Below are 24,791 nucleotides of genomic sequence, written 5' to 3'. Positions count from 1 at the left end.
CCATTCTACCCTGCTTCTATGAGTTTGATTGTTTTAGATTTCACATATAAGTGAGATCATGCAGTATTTGTCTTTCTTTGCCTGACATACTTCACTTAGCGTAATGTTCTCCAATTCCTGAATTACTCATTTATTTAAAAGTATATACCTTCTAAAAATGAAACACAGCTTACCACATGTTTTGAAGGACATATATTTATGTTATAGAAAACAAAGTTTCACTTTTCATTTAAAACTGATTAAACTAAGCATTCTGGGTCTTCACGCCTACTTTTTTTGTCAGGGGTAGCTCAATTGCGGAAAAGTTAGGGTGGCTACTCTGGGTCCCACAAAGCTTCCCCTAATAGAAGATTTAGGCCTGTGAATCAGGATTCATCTCTCCAAGAAGAAAGATGAGAAGGGACTGAACCCTGCATTTCCCTTCTAGTAGGATTCAGTTATAACTCTGCAGGCATCAGAGACAAAGAAAACCTTTTGACCTATAGAATTATCATGATTTAATGGTGGTTCTGCCCTGCAGTCTCCATCATATCCCTTATCTAACTTTCTCATTCAGCTTTCTCATTCTATTATTAGACTTATACATAAAAGCTTCCAATACACTCAAAGAGGGTCTTTCTTTCAGCTTTGTAATTTATCCTTTCTGCCAGTGTGCACTGATTGGCCTGCAAAGGTGCTTTTTCATAACTCCAAAAACCCGTTACAATAAATGGTACCTTAAACATTCAAATAATAGCAACTTCCATACAGTTCCGGAGCAGTGCTAAGTAAAAGGCGAAGGCATTTATGCAATCTGGAGAGAAGTGAGCATATGTTTCAGTCTTCTTCCCGTAAGTAGTGACAGGAAAACCGTCAACCTAAATTTGGAACCAACTCAGTTTTCACCATGGGGAAAACAAAACAAAACAAAATGATTTGTTCTTAAAAGTTTTCATTCACTGACTCCTAAGTTTTCTTGAATAACTTGCTAATAATATTAGTATTTTTTGTTAATTCATTTCAAGGTCACTTTGCAGTCTTAAGAAAACACTTTCATATGCATTCTGTTTGTTACCAAACGCTTTGTCAAGTAGACAAGGAAAATACCATCATTTCAACTTTATCCATCAGGAAACTGGCTCAGAGGCCTAAGTTCATCTGTCTACATTAGGAGCTGAACCAGGATTCAAACCCAGGTCTCCCAACTCCTAATCCTTGTTTCTATTAGTTTCCCGAACTTATTCACATATAATCCTCATATTTGCCACACCATCTGTATTATCATTTACTTCATATTTTTCTTCAAATCAAATATCTTCTTCATTGAAAACATTTATTGAAAAAGAAAGCTTCATATCATCCCATAAAGGAGAATAAATTGCATTTTTCTATCTCTAGTAAAATAAAAATGCCAATTTTGGTACCATGGTGTGGGATGCAGTACACTTTTCCGTTGCTTACTCAGGCCACTAAGGACCAAATCTCAATGAGCTTTCTATGTGCAAACTCTACAAATGGGAAGAAATGCACAGCTCCATAAATTGAGATAATTTTATTTCTAATATAAGTGGAAAGGACAGATAGCAAAAAAGGAAACTCGTCAGAATAGATTCAGTTGCAGTCCACTTCTTGGTCCAAAGAGAGGAAACAATGGATCCTCACTGAGGGTCACTAATAGCATCACCACTTAGACTTTACAATTTTGTGGTGGTTCCTGTACATTCGCAGTACAGGATGACTGATCTTTTATCATCGTAACTGTATGTGTATAAATATAAAACCATGCTTGTAATACTAAAATACATAAAAATGTACATGAATGTATATATTCAACCATCCAACCACTCATGTATCCAAAAGCACATTTGACTAGCAGGCATATTTATGTTATCATTAGAAATGTGTAAGACACAAGAATAATCACATAATATTTATCTGTAAGCAATGCAAAATGAGCCTGGGTTACTTCTGCTTAAATACCATACCAAAGGTCATTAGTTTACCGGTAAATCTTTTACTTTAGAAACTAGTTCTCCTTAAGAATTCTAAGAATGTCTCTTCTGCAAGTCTGAAGTGAACACTGGCATCATAGAATCTCTCCTTTATCACACTGGGAGGGATACCAGAAAGCAGGCAGAAAGCTGAGCAGTAGGGCACAGAGCCAATTCAAAAACATCCCTGCACCACCACGCCACCACTACCACCACCCCATCCTCCAAACTGAGTTTCAGCACAAGGAGGAACATGGCAACTACTGGTTTCAGAAAGAGAATGATTAGCCCAAAAGTGCTTTTTTGCAGTATTGCAGTCAGACTACAGCCTCAATGACATCTGAGCATTTTCTTATGAAAAATAACAACAGTCTTGGGATAGAAGTAGCACACTCAAAAAGAGGTGAGTCTCTCCTTCCCATCATTTCTCCACGACCTTCACTTAGGAATTTCTCCAGATCCCCTAGTCATTCGGCTCTCCTTTCCTCTCAGACATTTGTAAGCAGAGCCTAGAGTGCTTTCTCTAGAGAGCATCTTAAAATAACACTTTGCACTCAAAATGGCCACTGGGGGCATGCAATTTCCGGCAGCACAGAAAACAAAGTGAGTTCAGCATAAAGATGCATTTATTGAGTTCCTACTGAGGTTCTGGCCCTGTGCTAGCCCCTGGTAATGCAGAGGTGAATAAAAAAACAGACCTTGCCCTTGAGAAGTTCACAGTCTCGTGGGGAAGGTAGATAAACCCAAGATGTGAGAGCTGATCACAGACTATTGTAATTTCTGTGCATCTATCATGCCCTTTGATAGCCATATCTTCTTCCAAAAAAGGAACTGTACAAGTGTGTTTGCACACTAAAATGTGTGAGTCCCTCTATTCCCCATTAGATCAATCAGAAGAATTTCATCATATCGATTTATGTGGTCTCAGATCATTTCATCTTGCCTTCTAGTTTTATTCATAAACCCTGTAAGATCAGAGACTAGGTAACTGTCAAGAGTGGTGTGTGAATATGAGGAGAAGCAAAAGTTGCATTATGATTCACAGAAGTGAGAGATGCCACCACTGTAGATTAGAGACTTCTAGAGAGGAACCCTATACAGCATGTCAATAATGGAACCATAACTGTAAGGATTTTTTTTTTTTTGAGACAAGGTCTTACTCTGTCGCCCAGGATGGAGTGTAGTAGTTTGATCACAGCTCACTGCAGCCTCAACCTCCCTGGGCTCAGGCAATCCTCCCACCTCAGCCTCCCAAGTAGCTGGGACTACACATGTGTGCCACCACATCAGGCTAATTTTTGTATTTTTTATAGAGACGGGGTTTTGCCGTGTTGCCCAGGCTGGTCTCAAACTCCTGAGGTCAAGTGATCCACCCATCAAGCCTCCCAAAGTGCTGGCATGAGCCACTGTGTCCAGCCTGTAAGAAATTTCTTCATAAGGTTCAAATAAAGAGTATTTGACTTTGTTATGACCATGGCCTGTTTGTTCCAAATGTGACCATCTTTCAGCAGCTCATCTCTTTGTCTCTTCCCCAATAGGAACTCCAATTACTGAAGGAGCTTTGCATAACTACAATCTAATGGTGATGTGGTGGGGCGGGAGGGGCATCTTTTTAACTAGCAGAACCCAACTTGCCAAAATAGACATGAACATCTTTTCATAAAGATTATTTTCTGGGGAAAATCTTGGCATAAGAATCTAAATACAAACTGCATTCAGGACACTGACCTTTCTTAAAGTAAACGGCTAAGGGAAAAGTCATACTTTCCATGAGACCAGTGGGTCATGTTTATTACCAACCCACACTTAGCTCACCTGATTCTTATGATAGCATAGCCCTCCTCGCTCCCCAACAGCCCTTATTGTCTTTCCCATCTATTGTGGCATTTACTCATATATAACATTCCCTGGATACTTAACTGCTTTTTGGGTGGTTTACTTAGTCTCCTAGGCAGGATCAAAAACACCGGTTCGGTCAGCAAACAGTGCCTTGTACTTTCTGTTACCACTTACATTAAGCATTGCTGTATACTCGGTTAAGCGTTTTATATCTATGATCTCATCTAATTCTCCCCAAAATCCTGTGAGAGGTTATTTTATTATGCCCATTTTACAGATGAGGAAATTGAGGCTTAGGCAGGTCCAGTGTCACATATTTGTGGAGCTGGGATTCAAATCTTTATCTGATGGACTCCCAAGCCAGTGCTCTTAACCATGATCCACATAAACCTTTATGCGTTGAACTTAACAAAAGCAAATCATTTTCTCAGCTCCTACCACATTTTATTTCCTTGAATGAACTTTGCATTTTAGAATTTTCTAAAACTTACTCAAACTACGCTATCATTCTTACCAAAGTGAGATCTTGCCTTCCTATCGCCCTGATGATGCTGAACATGACTGGCTTAGAGAGCTTGTAATGTAATTGGATAAGGATCTTTGCATTCCTAAGCTGTTGCTTCCAATTTAGCATTTGTCATCAGTGAGTAGGGATTAGCACCTTAGGTCTTTTACTTGGGGGAAAGGAGTTGGCAGATTCAATTTCAAGTGGTTAAGAATCAAATTACAAAAAAAAACAACAGTACGCTATTGTCAAGGGACCATGTCTAATTCACCTCAATATCCTCCACACAACCTAGCAGAGAGCCCTGAGAACTACAAAGCCAGAAGTTTTTGTGTAGGGATAACCAGCTAAATAGTACAAAGAGACTGCTCTTACACGTATGCCTTCCAAGCTAAAATGGCAGCACACAAGGAGAGAAGGACAAGTTGTTGCTGATGCTTTCAGAATTAAATTTTCACTTCCCAGCTTTAATTTAGGAACAACAACTTAATGTTCTAAGAATCAGCACAATATGATTTCGAAGGCCTTTAAATCTAACATAGAAACATTAAGGAAAAATAAAACCCATTTTTTCCCTTAGAGTTTTAGCATAGGGAAGAAATTGTTTTAACTGCCGAATTATTTCCCCTTTCCAAGTCTATTTAACTATTTACAAAAACTCAAGAGCTACTTTTAAAAACTTACAAAGAATTTACTTTAAAAACAATAAGAAACAAACAAGACTATGCACTATATGATTAGTGCACACTCTATTAACAAACATTTTTCATTACAGCCAGTTCAAATATTATGCAAATAACCTTGATTACCTACAAATGGATAAATAGAATTTTCATGAACTTTCTACCCCAAAACTCAATTTAGCCAAAACTTTACTCGACAAACTTGTTGACAGGTAGGAAAGCTGATTTGAATTCAATTCCTCCTGGCTTTTTGTGCTCACTCTGTGCTAATAAGCATTTAAATGACTCAAAAGTAACACAAAAGAGGTTTAAGAAATGAAAAGAAGGGCTTGAATAATTGAGAGACTAGAATGGCAAAGAGCCTTTTTAAAATTAGAATTTTTTTTCTATTCTTTAGTACACCATTATTGACAGAAAGAAAAAGAAATGTGCCTTGGAGATACATAATGACTTTCTAACAAATCAAAGAATTTAACGAGTTCACAAAGACATACACAAATTATTGCAAATAATTCATTCCTGCAAGGAGAAATTAGACTGTGCTCATTCTATGCCTATCAACTATTTTATAACCTGCCTCAGATCTTAGTGCTCACCTTAAACTTGTAACAACAACAACAACAAAAAGACATCTCTGACTTTTTCCTGAGTTTTATAAACAAAACTCTAACATAACTTGCATTCTTAAGCAGAAAAAACTGTAAAGTGCACAGGCATTCTATAGGTATGTAGATTTAGCCATCTAAATCACTTACATTCAATAAAACATAACCTCCTAGAGGTCCTGTTTGTATCATTTGAACACAGTAGCATAAACTTACTCCATTAGAGAAGCTCAGTAATCTATAAAGCAGCCACACATCATTTTCCACACTGGATCTGGCAATCGGTCTACCCATCTCATTAACTTGCTCTTGATAATGGAGTAAAGAAAACTGACAGACTCTAGTTTGAAAATCAACCTTGATAGGGGCAAAAATACACCTTTCTACAAATATTTTAGTTTTCCACCATCCATCACATTGAATCTATCCATTAATTGAAATTATCTCTACCTTTTTTGGGCCCACCAATATTTTAAGTTTATACAACTGCATGAGATAATATATTCTAAAAGCTATGTAAGGCCAGGCGTGGTGTCTCACGCCTGTAATCCCAGCACTTTGGGAGGCCGTGGTGGGCAGATCACCTGAGATCAGGAGTTAGAGACCAGCCCGGCCAACATGGTGAAACCCTGTCTCTACCAAAAATATAAAAATTAGCCAGATGTGGTGATGGGCGCCTGTAATCCCAGCTACTCAGAAGGCTGAAGCGGGAGAATCGCTTAAACCCGGGAGGCGGAGGTTGCAGTGAGCGGAGACCATGACATTGCACTCCAGCCAGGGCAACAAGAGCGAATCTCCATCTCAAAAATTAATAACAACAAACAAACAAACAAACAAATAAATAAATAAAAGCTATGTAAAGTAAATAAAGTGATAGCTCCTTTGACTTCAGTTTACCTCTTTATCTTTAAAATGTCAGGAGATGCTCCACCTTGTGGTATAACATTTCAGGATATGGTGAGGTGATTTACGTTTATCCTGTATCCCACTCGTGACTAAACAGGCACACCTTCTTTTTTTTTTTTTTTTTTGAGACAGAGTCTCGCTCTGTCGCCCAGGCTGGGGTGCAGTGGCGCGATCTCGGCTCACTGCAAGCTCCGCCTCCCGGATTCACGCCATTCTCCTGCCTCAGCCTCCCGAGTAGCTGGGGCTACAGGCGCCCACCACCACGCCTGACTAATTTTTTGTATTTTTTAGTAGAGACGGGGTTTCACCATGTTAGCCAGGATGGTCTCGATCTCCTGACCTCGTGATCCACCCGCCTCGGCCTCCCAAAGTGCTGGGATTACAGGTGTGAGCCACCCCGCCCGGCCGGCACACCTTCTTCAACTGGGTTTTCTTGGTGAGGTGAGGCAGGTGTCTACAGATGCCTGCCAAAAAGCCCTTCCTGATCATGCCCTGAATTTTACCGTTCTATTGGCCCTAACACATCCTGGTCCTCAGTTGCTCTCGTGTAGCTTCAGTCAAGTTCAATTAAGCTTACAGCATACTCTCCTATTAATAAGTTGTAATTATTTTCCCAATTCTTGTCTCTCTAGAAACCCATGTCTCACTTTCCTGTCCATGTTCTATAACTTTATAGGGTCTCACCGTATGAAAGCTCCAATAGCTTAGCCTCTCTCTATCCTTAGAAAGGGTGTTAAGTCAGACCAGCATCCGTTAAACCATCCCTTGGGTGTTCAGCTTTTTTTTTTTTTATTACACATCCTCCTCTGAAACAAAAAAGCCTGCCCCTATCTATAATCTTTATATTCTTCTTTAAGCCAATTCCCTTCCCTATGACAAACCCCCTATCACCAGAGATACCATTTAAAAGAAGTCTTAAGAGTTGACCTCTATGAAAGGTTTTTTGACTGTCTTAAACAAATAACCTTGAAGTGATGAAAATGTTCTAAAATTGTGGCGATGACTTCACATATCTTTGAATATACTAAAAATGAAAATATACACTTCAGCTGGGTGTGGTGGCTAACACCTCTAATCACAGCACTTTGGGAGGCTGATGCGGGCGGATCACCTGAGGTCAGGAGTTCGAGACCTGCCTGGCCATCATGGTGAAACCCCACCTCTACTAAAAATACAAAAAGTTAGCCAGATGTGGTGGCGGGCGCCTGTAATCCCAGCTACTCGGGAGGCTGAGGCAGGAGAATCACTTGAACTTGGGAGGCGGAGGTTGCAGTGAGCCAAGATGGCACCATTGCACTCCAGCCTGGGCAACAAAGCAAGACTCTGTTTCAAAAAAACAATATATATATATATATATATACACACTTCAAATGGTTAAGCTGTATAGAATGAGGATTATATCTCAAAGGCTGTCAAGAAAAGTAAAACATAAAATTACTCAGCTTCACTTCCTGTTTTTTTTTTTTTTTTTTTTTTTTTTTTTTTTTTTTTTTGAGTATATGGCTCACTGCAGCCCCGAACCTCCTGGGCTTAAGGGATCCTCCCACCTCAGTCTCCTGAGTAGCTGGGACCACAGTCATCCACCACCATACCTGGCTATTTCTTTTTTATTTTTGTAGAGATGAAGTCTCCCTATGTTGCCCAGACTGGTCTCAAACTCCTGGCCTCAAGCAACCCTCCTGCCTGACTCCCAAAGTGCTGGGATTACCAGCATGAGCCACTGCACCCAACCTCACTTCCTTATACATCCAAAAACAAAACGAAACAAAACAACAACAACAATAACAACAAAATCTCCAATATTTAGTAAGAGATGAGTTCTCAGTACAGAAATCATGTTGCTCTTCATTCCAATGGTTAGTTTTCAATGCTTGAGGTTCCTACACCATAGCCATATATTTCACAGACCAGCCTGCTACAAAAGTGAGGCTTGCTGCTCTGTCATTCCCCGAGGGCTCTTCTGGAATCTTATAAACAGAAATAGAAAACATAGAACTTAGTTCTATAGATTCACTGAGCATTAACCATGTGTCAGGCAGTGGAGCTACAAAGCTGGGAAGGCAAAAGCAGGCAAGATGTGGGCCCTGCCCTTAACAAACTCATGGGCTAGAGGGAGAGAGAGATCCCTAAATCAAGAGCTATGATGCAATGGAGTAAGGGCTAGGGTAGGGGATACAGAGAGTGCCATGCAGACACAGGGAAGGGAGTGATTCATATCACTGGTGAAGGCAGTTCAGAGAGGAAATAGCTTTTGAGCTGAGACTCGAAGGATGAAATAAAAATCCCCATGGCAGGCAAGGAAGAGAGCATAAGTCTTAGCAAAGAAGAAGAAAGCCATGTGTTCATTGATTCTGGGGTGTACAGAACAGGGAGGAATGGCCAAGATGAGCTGGGAAGGAACGTTTATGGAGGACCACATATGCCAAGTCAATGAGTTTAGACTGTTTCCTAGTGTAGGTGATGGGGAGCCAGAAGTGGTTTTTAAGCAAGGGAATGACATGAACAGATGTTTTACTCACATTTATCCACTGAAAGCCAGAAGGTCAACGTTAATGGAAATTAATCCATAAAATGACAGCATAGGCTAAAAATTTGTCCTATTGTCTATGTTTTCCAGGAGTAATACACTGAATTATGGAAAACTACTCATTAGAGTTGCATACAAAACTATTGAGGAAAATAAAGTGAGGACTCTGCTTATGTGAAAAGCCTTTCTTTAAGAGAGAGAAAATGTTTGCATTGTCCTTGTGTGACAGAGATTAACCAGAATATTTCATTTGGAAAAGATCAGCTGCCAATCTGTACTTAATTTGTTCCCAACACCTTTCCTATGGCTAATTTGATCCAAAATGGTCCAACTTTTGATGAGAAATATGTTGGATCACAGTATTTCTTTGTTTCAATCCCTTCAGTGGCTCACCAGAGTCTGTAGAATAAAGCTCAAACTGTTCAGCAAGGCTTATTAGATCCCTTGTGATCTGGTCTCCATCTTCAGCCTCCAGCCCCATGTCCTCCAATCAGGGTGGGTAGACCTCCTAATGGGTCATGTTATCTCATATTTGATGATCCTGACCTCTCTGCCTGGTTATGTCTACTCCCCCCACCTCAAGACCCCAAGAGGCTGCCTTATCTACCCAAGTACAGGTGACCACTTCTTCCTATTCAGTGCACCTTCTGAAACCCAGAGCTATTCTATTTCCTACGCTTCCTTCGCCATCCCAGCCCATTTCAGAGGTGCCAAGGTGCAGTGCCTGATGTTTCCTTTTCTGTCTCTCTACCCTCTTAAATGAAAGTTCTGTGATTGTAGTGTCGTTGTCTTATTCACTGCTCTGTCCCTAGCTCTTCAAATGAGCAAAGTACAAATCCATGGTCAATATTTTCCTAACCTTCAGAATTAAGATTTTCTGCCTCTTACAATCTTTCCTAGATGACCACAATCTCTAAAACACTGAAAGGCAAACATTAGGGTAGCTGTCCAAAGGAGCTCTGCTACTGAACACTTTTAATAGTATGAATCATCACTCACTAATTTATCTTTTTGTAAATTCACAATGCCATATATGAAGTTTTCATAGAACAAGGCACCCCACGAAGAAATGCTGGGAGGTAGAAAATAGTATGGGTGGTCGGGCGTGGTGGCTCACGCCTGTAATCCCAGCACTTTGGGAGGCCAAGGCAGGCGGATCACAAGGTCAGGAGTTTGAGACCTGCCTGGTGAGCATGGTGAAACCCCATCTCTACTAAAAATACCAAAAAAATCAGCCAGGCATGGTGGCACGCGCCTGTAGTCCCAGCTACTTGGGAGGCTGAGACGGAATTGCCTGAACCCAGGAGGCGGAGGTTGCAGTGAGCCGAGATCGCGCCACTATACTCCAGTCTGGGTGACAGAGCGAGACTCCATCTCAAAAAAAAAAAAGAAAAAAAAGAAAAAGTAAACAGTATTGGTTGCGCACTTGAATTAAACCTGAGAAGAAGTCGATGACTCAAGCAAAACTCCATTTGTGCTGGTAATAGCTTTCCCCTTGTCAAACTTCCTCCTAAACAACCTCTCTCTCTCTGTCTATCCCACCCACCCTCCCTTCCTTGAAGCTCACATTTAGTCTGTGTGCTAAATGTGCCCACAGGAACATTTTCTTACCTCTTCCCATAAAAGTGCTCCAAAGGCCATGCAGTGTTGAACATACCCAAAAGCCTAGACTAGCTTTGGTTACAAGAAGTAATAGCAAGAAGCACTCGCCCACGCCCTTCCTGAAGCATCCCCATTTTGTAATGCTAACCCGTATCCCCTGCAAATGTTACCATAAGACCTTAGACTAAGAGCAATCCTGCCTCCAGAAGCCTCTACCTATAGTGTTTGCTATCAAGGTGTCTGACACAGACAAAACTATGTCTACACCTTCTCCTGTACATTCTCCAGCTAAAATGCTATCCTCTCAATGTGACAGTGCGTTCCTGTCTTGCTTTCATTTTCAGTTCAACTGGGACCTCTTCCCCCACCACCCCTTGTCATTTTGAACCACATCCGCCATCCGCCGCCACTCCCCAGCCCTGGATCAAATCCCCTTCTCATTTATTTCTCTGCTGCTTCTCCAAGGGGCTTCCAGCCTTTGCAGCTGCTGCTGGAGAAAATCCCAACTGGGTGCCAGGGGTGGGGCGGCTTCATTCACATAGATACAAGCCCTGGGATCAACTGGGCTCTCAGGCCTGCCCCTCAAGGTTTTGACTTCCACCTTGGCAGCTCCCTATGCCTCAGCCTATAGAAGAACAGTACACTTGAGGCTTCGTGAATGGAAAAATTCCTCTCTCTTACGATAACAATGGTGTCCCAATCAATTTGCATAGTCCGATGTCAGGGCTGTGCCCTGAATCAGATGCCTCCACAATGATGCCAACAACATGTATATAACTCTGCATCCTGCTACATTTATTTGGCAGCCAATACCTTTTGGGGTACCACTCTATCCACTTCCTAAAGTAGTTCCTAATCTGGGGGTTTAGTCAATTCTTGGATGGGCTACACAGAATCTGTGAAACTACTAAAATTATATGGAAGGTGCTATATGTACATCTTTTTGGGGAGAGGGTTCACAGCTTCCCAGAATCTCAAAGGAGTGTGTGGCCCAAGAAAGGTTATAATCTACTGCCTTACTAGCTTCATATAAACAGGTTGCCTTGTCATCATATAAGATGTATTGGTTTTGTATAATTATAAAAACAATACATGTTTGTTGAAGAATTTTTAATCCAAAAATATAATGAGGAAAATATAAGTCACTTGGAAAACCACCATCCATAAATGACCACTGTTAACATTTTGATGTTCTCCATCTCTTTTCATTTTTTTCTTCTTCCAAAATGGATTCATACTGCTGATTAAGTTGATTTCTAGCAGTTACGGTGTTCCCAGTAATATAAGAGAAATTTCTGACTACAAGGAACCTCGGACCAGAGTTCAAAAACCTCTTTGATTTCCAAGATGTATCCACCAACAAATATTTGTTGCTCCAAAAGTAAGAGAGGGAAATTCTTAACTAAGTTTTCACACAAGGTGTTTAAAAATTCTAAGGATTTCAACAGGCTATGTGAAGCCCCAGCCTAAGAAAGAGTATCTTTTCACGTAAAATGACTGGATCTATATCAATTGGGAAAAAAAGCAGATGTAATTATAGTCTTGGAGAGACACAATAAAACCAGTAGAAGTTGTTTTGTTTAAATGGTAGTTTTCCTTTACTACCAAAATGCAGACACTCATCTAATGATAAAAGTATATACAGTACATGAAATACAACTATATAGTAAAGGCCCTGGGTATCTCACACGAATCATAAACTTACAGATGGAAATTCCTGGGTTTTAGAGCAATGAAAACATTAGGGAGTGATTATGTGGCCTCCTGTGGTGGGTGACAATTCAAAGGACATCACTTATATGTTTTTGGAGTCCCATCGTGTTTAAGGAGGAAGATTGGTGTAATTACTTCACTGCTGCTTACATATTTCACTATTGAGAGAATTCTGGCAAAACAGGATTATTGCTTGGATCAATGAAGGACTTCTGGCCATTTAAGTCCAGTCCTTCCAATGTAATTTTCATCCCATATTTAAATAATATCCCATTTTCCAGTGGGAAAACAAATAAGTCCCTTTCTAAAATTCAAGGAAAAGCCAATTGAAATGTTTAATGGTTTTCTCTATCAGTCACTCTGTCCTCTGTTAAATCAATGAGCCTTTTCCTCTTTCCTCTGACCCTTGGGAGGTTTCTCTTAGGGAGCAATCTGGGCCTAGCTCAGTAAAGTTTCCCAGAACCCAGGAATGTACTGGCACTACTGTAGAAACTACAGTCTCTGGCCAGGTCAGGGGCTGGCCCCTGCTTTCTCATAAACACCACAACCTGAGAGCACTCACGTTCAGACTGTAAGCAAGTAGTCATCGGACAAACAGGCAAAGGCAGCCCTTGTAAAACTCTGGCATCTTTCTCTCCCTCAGGGACCCTTGGCCAGAGTTCCTTTTGAAGGGCCCTGGGGACAGACCATTGACAGAACAGCTAGCTGAGAGAGGAAACAAGAGATAACAGCCTTCACATCTCTGAAGCAAGAGCCATGCTCGGTATGAGGAGGACTTGATTCAATATGGCTAAATGTGATGTTGCTCTGTGGCTTAGTAAGGGATGTGAGAATGACTGAAGACTTGAAAGCCCTGGCTCATATCTTTCATACGACTGGAGCTGGAAGCCAGACCTGCTGACCCCAGGTCCTTGTGCTTGTCTTGGTAGCTGCTCCCAAGATGTCATGGCCTGGGAACTACCGCCTTGCTAAGGATAGGTTTACAACAGAATGCCCAGCAGGGAAGCGATGTTTTTCACTGCTCAGGTCTTTCTTCTTTCTTTTCTGTTTGTGAATTAAGACATGGAAATTTCACAGGGAATAAGTAGGCACTATTTTGCCACCTATACGGGAAGTGGTAGAAAGTGATTGTCATTTTTGCTGACAAGGGGAGGGTAGTTAAAAAGAAACATGGTCAAATCAAAACATTAAAGATTTATGTATTCCAAATGGAGGTGTTACGTTCTTTTTCTTTTTTTTTCCTTTTCTGTTTTCCCCCAGAGTTTTCTAGCACAAACAAGTACCGCTGGTATAATCCAAAACATACAATCAACTTAATTTGGTTTTTTTAGTTATTGTGGTAAAAATATACATAAAATTTACCATTTTAACTATTTTAAAGTATATACTTCGTTAAGTATATACTATATAAGTGTCTGCATTTGGCATTAACTATATTCACATTACTCTGCAATCATCATCATTACCCATTTCCAAACTTCCTCATCATCCCAAAGAGAAACTCTGTACGCATTCAACTCTGCACTTCCTCCACACCGCCCCCGCCCATCCCTGGTAACCTTTATTCTATTTTCTGTCTCTATGTACTTGCCTATTCTAGGTACCTCATATATGTGGAATCATATAAAATTTGTCTTTCTGTGACTGGCTTCTTTCACTTAGTATAATGTCCTCAAGCTTCATGCATATTGTAGCATGTGTCATAATTTCCTTCCTTTTTAAGGCTGAATAATATTCCATTGGTCATCTGCTGAGGGACACTGGGCTGTTTCCACCTTTTGACAATTGTGAACAATGCTGCTATGAACAGTGGTGTGAAACAAGTATCTGAGTCCCTTCCTTCAATTCTTTTGGGGAGAATTTCCCAATTCCACCTAATAGAATTGCTGGGTTATATGGTAATACTTTTTTTTTTTTTTGAGACAGAGTCTCGCTCTGTCACCCAGACTGGAGTGCAGTGGCGCTATTTTGGCTCACTGCAACCTCCGCCTCCTGGGTTCAAGTGATTCTCCTGCCTCAGCCTCCTGAGTAGCTGAGATTACAGGCACACGCCACCACGCCCAGCTAATTTTCATATTTTTTAGTAGAGATGGGGTTTTACCATGTTGGCCAGGCTTGTCTCAAACTCCTGACCTCATGTGATCTGCCTGCCTCTCCCAAAATGCTGGCATTACAGGTGTGAGCCACCTCTCCCAGTCTATTATATGGTAATTCTATATTTAACTTTCTGAGGAACCACTTAACTGTTTTCCATAGTGGTTGTACCATTTTACATTACCCACCAGCAATGCACAAGGGTTCCAGGTCCGCCCCGCCCGTGTTCCTCAACACTTATTTTCCAGTTTTTTGAATAACAACCATCAGAACAGGTGTGAGGTGGTATCTCGTTGTGGTTTTCATTTGTATTTCCCTGATGACTAATGGTTTTGAGTATCTTTTCCCGTGCTTATTGGCCATTTGTTTATCATCTTCAAAGAAATGTCTATTTAAGTCCTTTGCCTGACTTAAATCAAGTTTGTTGTTGTTGTTGCATTATAGGAGTTCTTTATCTATTCTGGACATTAATCTCTTATCAGATATATGCTTTACAAATACTTTTGCCCATTCTGTGGGTTGCCTTTTTACTCTCCTGTTAGTGTCCTCTGATTTGAGAAAAAAATCAGAGGACACCGACAAATAAAGTTAATGTAATCAACTTTATTTTTTAAAGAAGGTATGGGTTGAATTTTTAGGGAGCAAACAGACAGCCTGAAATATGGATGGAGAAGGTACGCCTAATACCTCCTTTTTACCCTTCTGTGGGTGAAGGAACAAGAACTGAGGTATTCTCAATGAGGTCACAAACTCATCAATCGTCCCCCAACTTGGCTCCTTTTTAGGCAGCTAATGCGGTGGGGCACTTGTGTACTAATGACAGTCACAGAAAGGAAACTCATCTGGGTGTGGTAGTGAGCCCAGCAAGGGCAAACAGGCAGGGTGGGGAGGACATAGATCTTACAGGCTTATACGATTCCTCAGCCCTACCAGCTCTCTGTTTCTGGCTGGTTCTTAACTACACACTCAAACTTCCAAACTTCTCACATAGAAGACAAACATGCAGATTTGTCACTACTGAATGGAGAGGAATGCTTGAGTAATTATTGTGAAAAGTGACACCCAAGTTCAGTTCCATCTCGGAGGATCAAACTCCCCTTCTTGTCTCTCTGCCCCTTATTTCCTTTCTCTTCAGTCCCCCCTGCAAAATGGGCCTTCGAACCAACTATTTGTCACATGGGAGTTTGTTTTCTAAGTATTATTGAGTATGATCAATTTACACAGGCAATGAGAAAAAGCAATACATATTCATTTTCTTCTAGGAATAGCCCCGGAACTATACTCAAATCCTCTAGAAATGGCTGTGTCTCAGTAGCTTATGTGAATAAACTCAGTCCAAATTTCAGGACTATCGTGAGGCTGAACTGTTGAATATCCTTACTAAACGTGAGAAACACAGTGCACAGTGCAGGTCCTGTAAACTGAAATTTCTCGCTCTACAAAGTACTGATTTGTTTTTGAAAGGTATTGACAATTACAGATCACCAACCTACCAAACTGTCTTTTCATAAGCAGAGTAAATAACCTAAAATCTTCTTACCTAGGAAGCACACCTAAAACCCCATGAACTGCCTGCTGCACATGCATTCATTTAACCAAGAATCCAATGAGAAGGATATTTCTAGAAAGGTCTCCACCTAGACATACAAATGGCTTAGAAATTTCAATGTTAAACAACCTTTATGCTCAGTAAGTTCTTTTTTGTATTTAATTCAAATCCTAAGGGCAAAAACTCAACTTCTTTAGCATGTGACCATATGTCCTACCCTCAAAGCCATTTCATTATGAGGGTGGGGAAATGAAAGAAAATGTAGGACAGGAGGAAGAAATGTAACTCTTCTCTATTATGCTTCTAACATTTATTGAAAGCTTGCTAAGCACCAGGTACTATGCGAAATGCATTACATGCGTTACCTCATTTAATTTTAGCAATGACTGTATGAGGTAGAGAATACTATCACTACTCACATTTTATCAATGGGAAAACAGATTAAGAGAGGTCAGAAACTTGCCCAAGTGAGCAAATAGAGTCAGCGTAGTACGCCAAATTCTGAGATGCCCCTAGAATTCTTGCCTCCTGGTCTACTCACCCTGTTTAATTCTCCTCTTGAATGTAAGCGGGACCTGTGAATATTGAGAGATATCCCTACCCTGATTAGGTCAGGAATCAACTGACTGTGAGTTAATCAAAACAGAGAGGATTCCAGGTGGGCCCGACCTAATCAAGTGATCTCTAGAAGAGGAACTGGGCCCATCCTGAAGAGAGAGATACACCTGCTGGATTTAAAGAAGTAAACTGCCATATGATGAGAGGCCTATCTGTCCAGGACCTGAGGATGTCCTCTAGGAGGTGACAGCAACCCCCAGCTGAATGGGACCATTTCAACTACTTCAAGGAACCAAATTGTGCTATCTTGAATGAGCTTGGAAAAGCTCTGAGCTTCTGGATAAGAATGCAGTCCTGCCAACACCTGTAAAACCCTGAGCAGAGAATCCAGCTGAGCCATGCCTACACTTCTGACTGTGAAATAATAAGTGTGTTATTTTAAGCTGCTAAGTATGTGGTAATTTGCTATGCAGCAACAGAAAACCAGTATAGTCAGGATTCAAAGCCAGGCTCTATTTAACTCTGGAGTGCATGCTTTTTTTTTTTAGACAAAGTCTCACTCTGACCCCAGGCTGGAGTGCAGTGGTGCAATATCACTCATTGCAACCTCCGCCCCCTGGGTTCAAGCAATTCTCCTGCCTCAGCTTCCTGAGTAGCTGGGACTACAGGTGCCCGCCACCACACCCAGCTAAATTTTTGTATTTTTAGTAGAGACGGGGTTTTGCTTTGTTGGCAGGGCTGTTCTCAAACTCCTGGCCTCAAGTGATCTGCCTGCCTCAGCCTCCCCAAGTGCTGGGATTACAGGAATGAGCCTGGCCAAGTGCATGCTCTTAACCACTACAGCAGATTCTGCAGCAGTTTTGTGAATTCCCAAACATTTTCAATGCTTTAAAGAGTAAAGATATTAATGTAAATCTCTATGTAATAGGAATGGTTATGATATTTTCTTCTTCTAGTGCAGTTTTCAAGTTTTAGAAATGTTTTTTTTACCACATTCTAGTATAGAAACACACTTATTGATATGTTACATTTGAGATGGAGGGAGGGGAGAATACATATTCAATAGAAAACTACTCAAATACAATGTGATAATAGGTTACGTTGTGAAAAATAAGTAGGATGGAAAACATAAGATTTCATTTACCAAAAACACCTTATTAGAATAGACGTGGCTTTTGCAAGAGCTCCAGGGTATGCTATTTACAAATACTTTCCTTCTGACTATTGCGTGAACTACAAAGTCTGTCATGTGGTGCTTCCAAGGAGATGACAACACATTCCCTCTTTTAACAGGGCACAACTAAAAATGTAGTGAATATGAGAAGCCAGTGAATTCTCTGCTGCAGTGAAATAAACTTAAAGAGAATTCCAAAATTCAAACACTGTGGTTGCTTTTTGGAGAGTGTCAGTCTAGAACTAATGGTTCATGTTCCCCCTTCATACAAAAACTACACACGGAGGTGAATTGATGAATAATAATAGCTAACACTTAGCCTATGCAAAGGGTTGACCATGGATTATCCCTTTAGGCCTCATGCTTACCTTATGCGGTAGGTATGATTATCACCATCACTCCTATTTTATAAACAAAGAAACTGGGACTTAAAAAGGTTGAGTAAGTTTCCCAATATTCCACAGCCAGAAAGTGGCATTTCAACTCAGAAGTGGACACCAGAGCTCATTCTCAGTCACTTAGCTATATGACCAAAACTTCTATTGCTTTCCAACTAGATGTTTCTTCCATCCTTCACAGTATCTAGGAATGCTCAATAAATTTTGCTGGTAATGATAAGGAATGAGAGACCGGAACCTGAGGGAGTAGATAAGGCTTCCAAGCCATTCATCACTGTGAGAAGATGGGAGATGTGGAGAGGGCAGAAGTTGACAGAGGATAAGGAAGCAGGCTAAAGGCAGCCCCCACTTATGTGGATGTCAGTCTAAAGGAAGTGAACAGGATTGTACTACTTAGAACTCCAAATATATGTTGACTAACCACGCACAAGCAGATTTAATTCTGGCCCTAAGATCATTTAAAAAAATAATAAAACCCAGTTTTCCAGAGTGTATTTCTCTCTTTTGGAAAAGTTTCTGCTCCACATCTGGAAGTGATTTTCTAACAACACTAATTCCAATGAGTCATCTATGATATTAAGCAATGATTCCATAGGGTGAACCCTGATCATATTTTTCCATTGACTGGCAGCCACCGAGGTCAATGAAAGGCAAAGGCGAACCCAGACATGGAGAACCTCACCCTCCACAGCTCCATCTTGTATTATCAAGGACATGGGTTTTAAGAAGTACAGGAATGCAATCCATCTCCCAGCACTAATGCAAGGCATCTTCTAATATACTCCGTTTCTTTTCACTGGTTATATGCAGAAGATGGATCCAAAGGCTGCTTGAGGGGAAAGCAACCATAAATTAAGCTGGCAGAAGAAACATTATGAGGCCATGTGTAACCATGAGGCAGTTAGAAAAGCAGGGAGTGGGCTTTCTGGACAAAAGAACAGGACAGCCTATGGTACACAGAGTACAGCCAGAGCTCAGGAGCCTTAATGCTGCCAGCAAGAATTTCCCCAAGGAATATTCTAGAAAGCACTGCCAGTCAATCCCTTGCCCTTTCATCCTAATACAGTGGCTCCAACCATCAACTTTAAACCAATATCATATTGGTTTCCTAATATTTAAGATCTCTAGTACTGATGTTTAGAAGTGTAACTTAAGTCCATTTCCCAGTGTCTTCTGACACTTGGATTTCTTTCAAGTTACAAAGAAAGAATGAGTCATGTTCTCTTAGAGACTGAGGAGCCACTTACAAAGGCTATTTTAAATTTTTTGAGTGACAAGGGTATTATTTAGTTCCCAGAAACAATAATTGACTAAATGCCTTCTTCAGGTCTGAAGGAGTTAATGCAACTTCCCAGAGTTATCCTTCTCTCCCAGGTATAATCTGATTTTAAATGGCAGAGGAGTGACAGTGTGTTACAAAAACTGAAATCCCACCTCACAAAACCCTGCCTTAAAAAAATATAAATTAGTGGATGGTTACTTGCATTACAAAATTATGCTTTGCTTTTCCAAAGGATTCCAATAAAGTTCATTCAAAAATCAGATTCCCCAAGTGTATGTGAAATGACGTGATTTGCCCAAATTTGATTTACATATGGGCCACATTGAGGAAACACAGCTGCTCCAAAGTCTGAATTTGGTTAGCAGGTACCTCTTCACCATGATTTTGGTGGTTCACATACTCATTTCATCAGCGCCTTGCCTCCAGGGTCACACAGTGAAGAGCAGACCTTAAAATTTCTTTTCTGTTTTGAGACAGAGTCAAGCTCTGTTGCACAGGCTGGAGTGCAGTGGTTCACTGCAACCTCCACCTCCCAGGTTCAAGCATTTCTCCTGCCTCCACCACCCGAGTAGCTGGGATTACAGGTGTGTGCCACCACGCCTGGCTAATTTTTTTGTATTTTTAGTAGAGATGGGGTTTCGCCATGTTGGCCAGGCTGGTCTCAAACTCCTGACCTCAAGTGATCTGCCCATCTTGGCCTCCAAAAGTGCTGGGATTACAGGCGTGAGCCACCGTGCCCAGCTGACCTTAAAATTTCTGACTCATAATCCCCCACTCTAACAATAAAATTGCTTTGCTTTTACCTGGCACCTTTCATTCAAAGCCTTCGAAGTATTCAATTCTCATTTGCTGTAAGTCTCCATAATTATGCCGAACAAGTCAGCAAGAGAGCTGGGAATGCAAGCTTCCAAATTATCGAGATGGGACAAAAAGTTTTTTTAAAAAAATATTAGGACTACTGACAGGCAGAAAAATTAAAGGTCCACGGAAATGCAAAAGAACTACACTTAGGATATTTTTTGACAAAAAAAAATTTCATAGATCTTACTTTTTTAAATAAACTATTTTTCAGAGCAGTTTTAGGTTCCCAGCAAAATTAAGCAGAAATTATAGAGTTCAGTTCCCATGTGCTCCCTGCCCCAACACAGGCTCAGCCTCCCCTACTATCAACATCAGGCACCAGAGTGGTACATTTGTTACAATTGATGACCCTACAATGACACATCATAACACCCAAAGTCCATAGGATACATTAGGATTCACTCTAGGTGCTGTACATTCTATGGGTTTTGTTTGACAAATATATAATGGCATGTATCCACCACTGCAGTAGTATATGGAGTAGTTTCACTGCCTTAAAAATCCTCTCTGCTTCACTTATTCATCCCTTCATTTGCCCTACTTTTTCAGTTACAAAGAGGAAATATCCAAATCCCAGTTTAAATACAACAAACCATTTCTTTAAGAGATGGGGGTCTCACTATGTCGCCCAGGCTGGACTTGAACTCCTGGGCTCAAGGAATCCTCTCGCCTTGGTCTCCCTAAAGTAGCTGAGACTACAGGCAGAGACCACCAAACGTAACAAATCATTTTTATATATCTTGTAAGAAAAAGAGACATATAGTAGAGAGAAGACAGAAGAACAGAAGGAAGAAAGAAATGAACTCAAGGACATGCATGCTGACAGAAAAAAGAGGCACACAGTAGAGAGGGAAAGAGCCCCTGCCTACCAAGATGCGCATCATAATCTAATTGTTTTAAATGTCAGAGGCAAGACCTTCCATTTCAAAGCTCATAATTCATAAGTAATTCTCCCATCCATTTGTTTTTAAATCCATGAGAAGTATAAAGATTATTTTAAATAAAAGAACAAAGATTCAGCATGTTCAAAATCAGAAAAATCATGACCACAAATCCTTGCAATTTCAATGCAAATTAATTAGCTTTACTTGAAATTTAAGTCCCTCTAGTGATTCATCTTCTTAATGGCAGCAAAAGAGAACTCCAGTATCAACAACCTGAGATACATTTCACACGCAACATAGCAGCTATTTTAATTTACAGTTCAGAAAATTCAGAGTAGGCACTTAGGCCTCCCCAAAATTATAAAGATAATATGAAATATATAGATATATGTGGATGTACAGGCAAATATCTAGTGTAAGACTATATACATATATTCTTCAAAATTTCACTTTAAAGAAAACACATTATAATCAAAGTTCAGGGAATAATACTTAAGAAGATAGGAATTAAATGCAAGTGGGAATTAAAGTCTAATCTCTAGCCCATCCTAATTTTAATGATCTAGCAGACAGAGAATCTGAGATACGCAAAGCACTAGGCAAGGAGCTGCAGGATTATAGGAAAAATTATCTTAATAATAATAGCTAATTATAGAGAGACCATATGTTGTGTGTGCACACACATGCGTGTCACATAAATCTAGAAATCCTGAAAGTATGGTTCTTATCTTGAACTCTACATCTTCTGTTTATAAAAATAATAATGCTCAGAGTAAAATAAATGAATTAATGTTTTTAAAGCAAAAATAAAATTTCCTCATAACATAATCCCACCATCCGAGATAGGCACTCTTTTATTTATTTTATTTTTCTTTTTTTTTAAAACAGGGTCTCACTCTGTCACCCACGCTGGAGTGCAGTGGCGCGATCATAGCTCACTGTAACCCCAAACTCCTGGGTTTAAGCAATCCTCTTGCCTCAGACTCACAAGTAGCTAGGACTACAGGCACACACCACCATGCCCAGCTAATTTTATTATTTTTTTTAAGAGACAGGGGTCTGGCTATGTTGCCCAGCCTCGAACTCCTGGGCTCAAATGATCCTCCCACCTCAGCCTCCTGAGTCACTAGGATTACAGGTGTGAGCCAGTGTGCCCATCTAGCACTCTTAATATTATACACACATATACGCATTATATATAAACATATGTTATCAACATACAACATCCTTTGGGAATGTTGTTTTGAATATAACAATAATACTAATAGCTACGTTTATTCAGTGCTTCTCTATGTGCTAGGCATTGTTCCTCGTGCTTCAATGTCTAATTTTACTCAAACCTTGCAACAAGCCTCTGAGGTCAGTACTATCATTATCTACATTTTACAGATGAAGAAAACGAGGCACAGAGTGATTAGGTAAGTATATTCACATATATCGTATATGCATTATTTTATAAAAATAGGATCATACTTTGCATGCCATTTCATAATGTAAATTTTTTGCCACTGTCAATAAATATAGATGTCAGCCGGGTGCGGTGGCTCACGTCTGTAATCCCAGCACTTTGGGAGGCTGAGGTGCACAGATCATTTGAGGTCAGGAGTTCGAGACCAGCCTGGCCAACATGGCGAAACCCCATCTCTACTAAAAATACAAAAATTAGCTTGGGCATGGTAGTGCACTCCCAGCTACTAGGGAGGCTGAGGTAGGAGAATTGCTTGAACTCAGGGGGAGAAGGATGCAGTGAGCCAAGATCACACAGCTGCACTCCAGCCTGGGCAACAGAGCGAGTGTGAGAGAGGCGGAGAGAGAAAGAAAGAAGAAAAAGGAGGGGAGGGGAGGGGAGGGGAGGAGAGGAGAGGAGGAGGCCGGGTGCAGTGGCTCACGCCTGTAATCCCAGCACTTTGGGAGGCCGAGGCGGGCAGATTACGAGGTCAGGAGATCGAAACCATCCTGGCTAACATGGTGAAACCCCATCTCTACTAAAAATACAAAACAAAATTAGCCGGGCATGGTGGTGGGCGCCTGTAGTCCCAGCTACTCAGGAGGCTGAGGCAGGAGAATGGCGTGAACCCGGGAGGCGGAGCTTGCAGTGAGTCGAGATCATGCCACTGCACTCCAGGCTGGATAACAGACGCAGACTCCATCACAAAAAAAAAAAAAAAAAGAAAAAGAAAAGAAAAGAAAAAAGAAAGAAAGAATGTCATTTTAAGGACTGCACAGTTTTCTGGTGTAAGAATGTATATATATATATATTTGCCCAAATCCTTACTTTTGAACATTTAGGTGAACTTTTTTGGGTTTTTGTTTTTGCTATTATAAACATATTTGCAAGGCCAATTGATGTTCATGTTATTCTTCCAATGTTTACAAATAAGCAAAAGGAGATCCCCCAAAAGTCAAACAGTCTGCCCAAGGTAACACAGATTGTCAGTAGAATTGCTGGGCCCTCTGGCACTGACTACTAAGCAATAGCTTTCTAGTCTCCTACCAGCCCCTTAAGGTATTTACATTCTAATACAATAGAGAAGCTATCAACAACTATCTTAGGAGGCCTAATGAAATCAATCCTCTCTAAAATGAAAGTACTGATATCAATCCTCTCTAAAACCTAAGAACACACAGACTGAAAAAATGCCTCCCCCACAAAAAGATATGCCCCCATCCTCATCCCTGGAACCTGCAAATGATATATGGCCAAAGGGTCTTTACAGACGTGAAATAAATTGGCTGGGTGCAGTGGCTCACATCTATAATCCCAGCACTTTGGGAGGCCAAGGCGGGCGGATCACCTGAGGTCAGGAGTTCGAGACCAACCTGACCAACATGAAGAAACCCCGTCTCTACTAAAAATACAAAATTAGCCAGGCATGGTGGTGCATGCCTGTAATCCCAGCTACTCGGGAGGCTGAGGCAGAAGAATCGCTTGAACTCGAGAGGCGGAGGTTGCGGTAAGCCGAGATTGCACCATTGCACTCCAGCCTGGGCAACAAGAGCGAAACTCCATCTCAAAAAACAAAACAAAATGAAATAAATTAAGGATCTTGAGATGAAGAGCGCATCCGGATTATTGGGGTGGACTCTAAATGCCATCACAAGTATCTTGATAAGAAAGAGGCAGCGGGAGACCTGAAACAGACCAAAGAGGTGGCAATGTGACCACAGAGGCAGAGATTGGAGTGATGCAACCACAAGCCAAGGAATGCTGGTAGCTACCAGAGCTGGAAGAGGCAATAAATGATCCTTTCCTAAAATCTCCTGAAGGAGTGAGGCCTAGTGATACTTATTTCAGACGTCTGGCCTCTAGATCTGTTAGAGAACAAACTTGTTTTAGGCCACCCAATTTGTGGTAATTTGTTACAGCAGCCACAGGAAGCCAACGCAACTAGTAAGAGGCTGTAAGGCTGCAGAAGGAGCAATTAGCTCCAAATATGGTGGCCATGGAGAAGATGGCCATTTGACCTAAGCCCTGAAGGACAGATAGGATTCCCTTTAGCAGGGAAGGGCTTGTAAGGGCATCCCCGGATGAGGAGTCAGCATGCACAAAGGTATGTAGGTGAGAAACTATAGAAATGTGTTTGAAAAAGTGTGATGGTTCAATGTGGCTAGACTACAGGGCAAAGGAAGGGTGTGGTGGG

At 40.9% G+C, this 24,791-nt stretch overlaps 1 protein-coding gene across 5 annotated transcripts in view, besides 5 other annotated features; it reads right to left on the bottom strand.

Moving 5' to 3' along the window:
- The window catches only part of DOCK11 (dedicator of cytokinesis 11), a 190,333-nt gene that overhangs the window by 146,734 nt on the left and 18,808 nt on the right, over positions 1 to 24,791 (bottom strand). For 2 of the 5 annotated variants that reach the window (XM_005262369.6, XM_047441841.1), the window contains exon 1: positions 717 to 6,152. The exons of 2 other annotated variants lie outside the window; for them this stretch is intronic. In XM_005262369.6, coding sequence (XP_005262426.1) covers positions 717 to 725 — 9 coding nt within the window. In that variant the 5' untranslated portion in view covers positions 726 to 6,152. Of the gene's footprint in view, positions 1 to 716; positions 6,153 to 10,646; positions 10,954 to 24,791 lie in introns of those variants that run through there. One more of the 5 variants, XM_011531276.4, reaches the window with a different exon arrangement.
- Positions 2,435 to 2,484: an enhancer, noted in NCBI's record as "active region_29877". NCBI's record gives its function as "activates an Ori minimal core promoter by ATAC-STARR-seq in GM12878 lymphoblastoid cells {active_cell/tissue: GM12878}" and the evidence as "EXISTENCE:reporter gene assay evidence [ECO:0000049][PMID:35858748]".
- Positions 2,885 to 2,964: an enhancer, noted in NCBI's record as "active region_29876". NCBI's record gives its function as "activates an Ori minimal core promoter by ATAC-STARR-seq in GM12878 lymphoblastoid cells {active_cell/tissue: GM12878}" and the evidence as "EXISTENCE:reporter gene assay evidence [ECO:0000049][PMID:35858748]".
- Positions 3,195 to 3,244: an enhancer, noted in NCBI's record as "active region_29875". NCBI's record gives its function as "activates an Ori minimal core promoter by ATAC-STARR-seq in GM12878 lymphoblastoid cells {active_cell/tissue: GM12878}" and the evidence as "EXISTENCE:reporter gene assay evidence [ECO:0000049][PMID:35858748]".
- Positions 10,981 to 11,040: an enhancer, noted in NCBI's record as "active region_29874". NCBI's record gives its function as "activates an Ori minimal core promoter by ATAC-STARR-seq in GM12878 lymphoblastoid cells {active_cell/tissue: GM12878}" and the evidence as "EXISTENCE:reporter gene assay evidence [ECO:0000049][PMID:35858748]".
- Positions 15,175 to 15,234: an enhancer, noted in NCBI's record as "active region_29873". NCBI's record gives its function as "activates an Ori minimal core promoter by ATAC-STARR-seq in GM12878 lymphoblastoid cells {active_cell/tissue: GM12878}" and the evidence as "EXISTENCE:reporter gene assay evidence [ECO:0000049][PMID:35858748]".

The sequence above is a fragment of the Homo sapiens genome, chromosome X (assembly GCF_000001405.40).
Source record: "Homo sapiens chromosome X, GRCh38.p14 Primary Assembly".
In the NCBI taxonomy this organism is placed as follows: Eukaryota; Metazoa; Chordata; class Mammalia; order Primates; family Hominidae; genus Homo; species Homo sapiens.
Note: the sequence above shows the minus strand (reverse complement) of the source record. Positions and strands in the feature narration are given on the sequence as shown.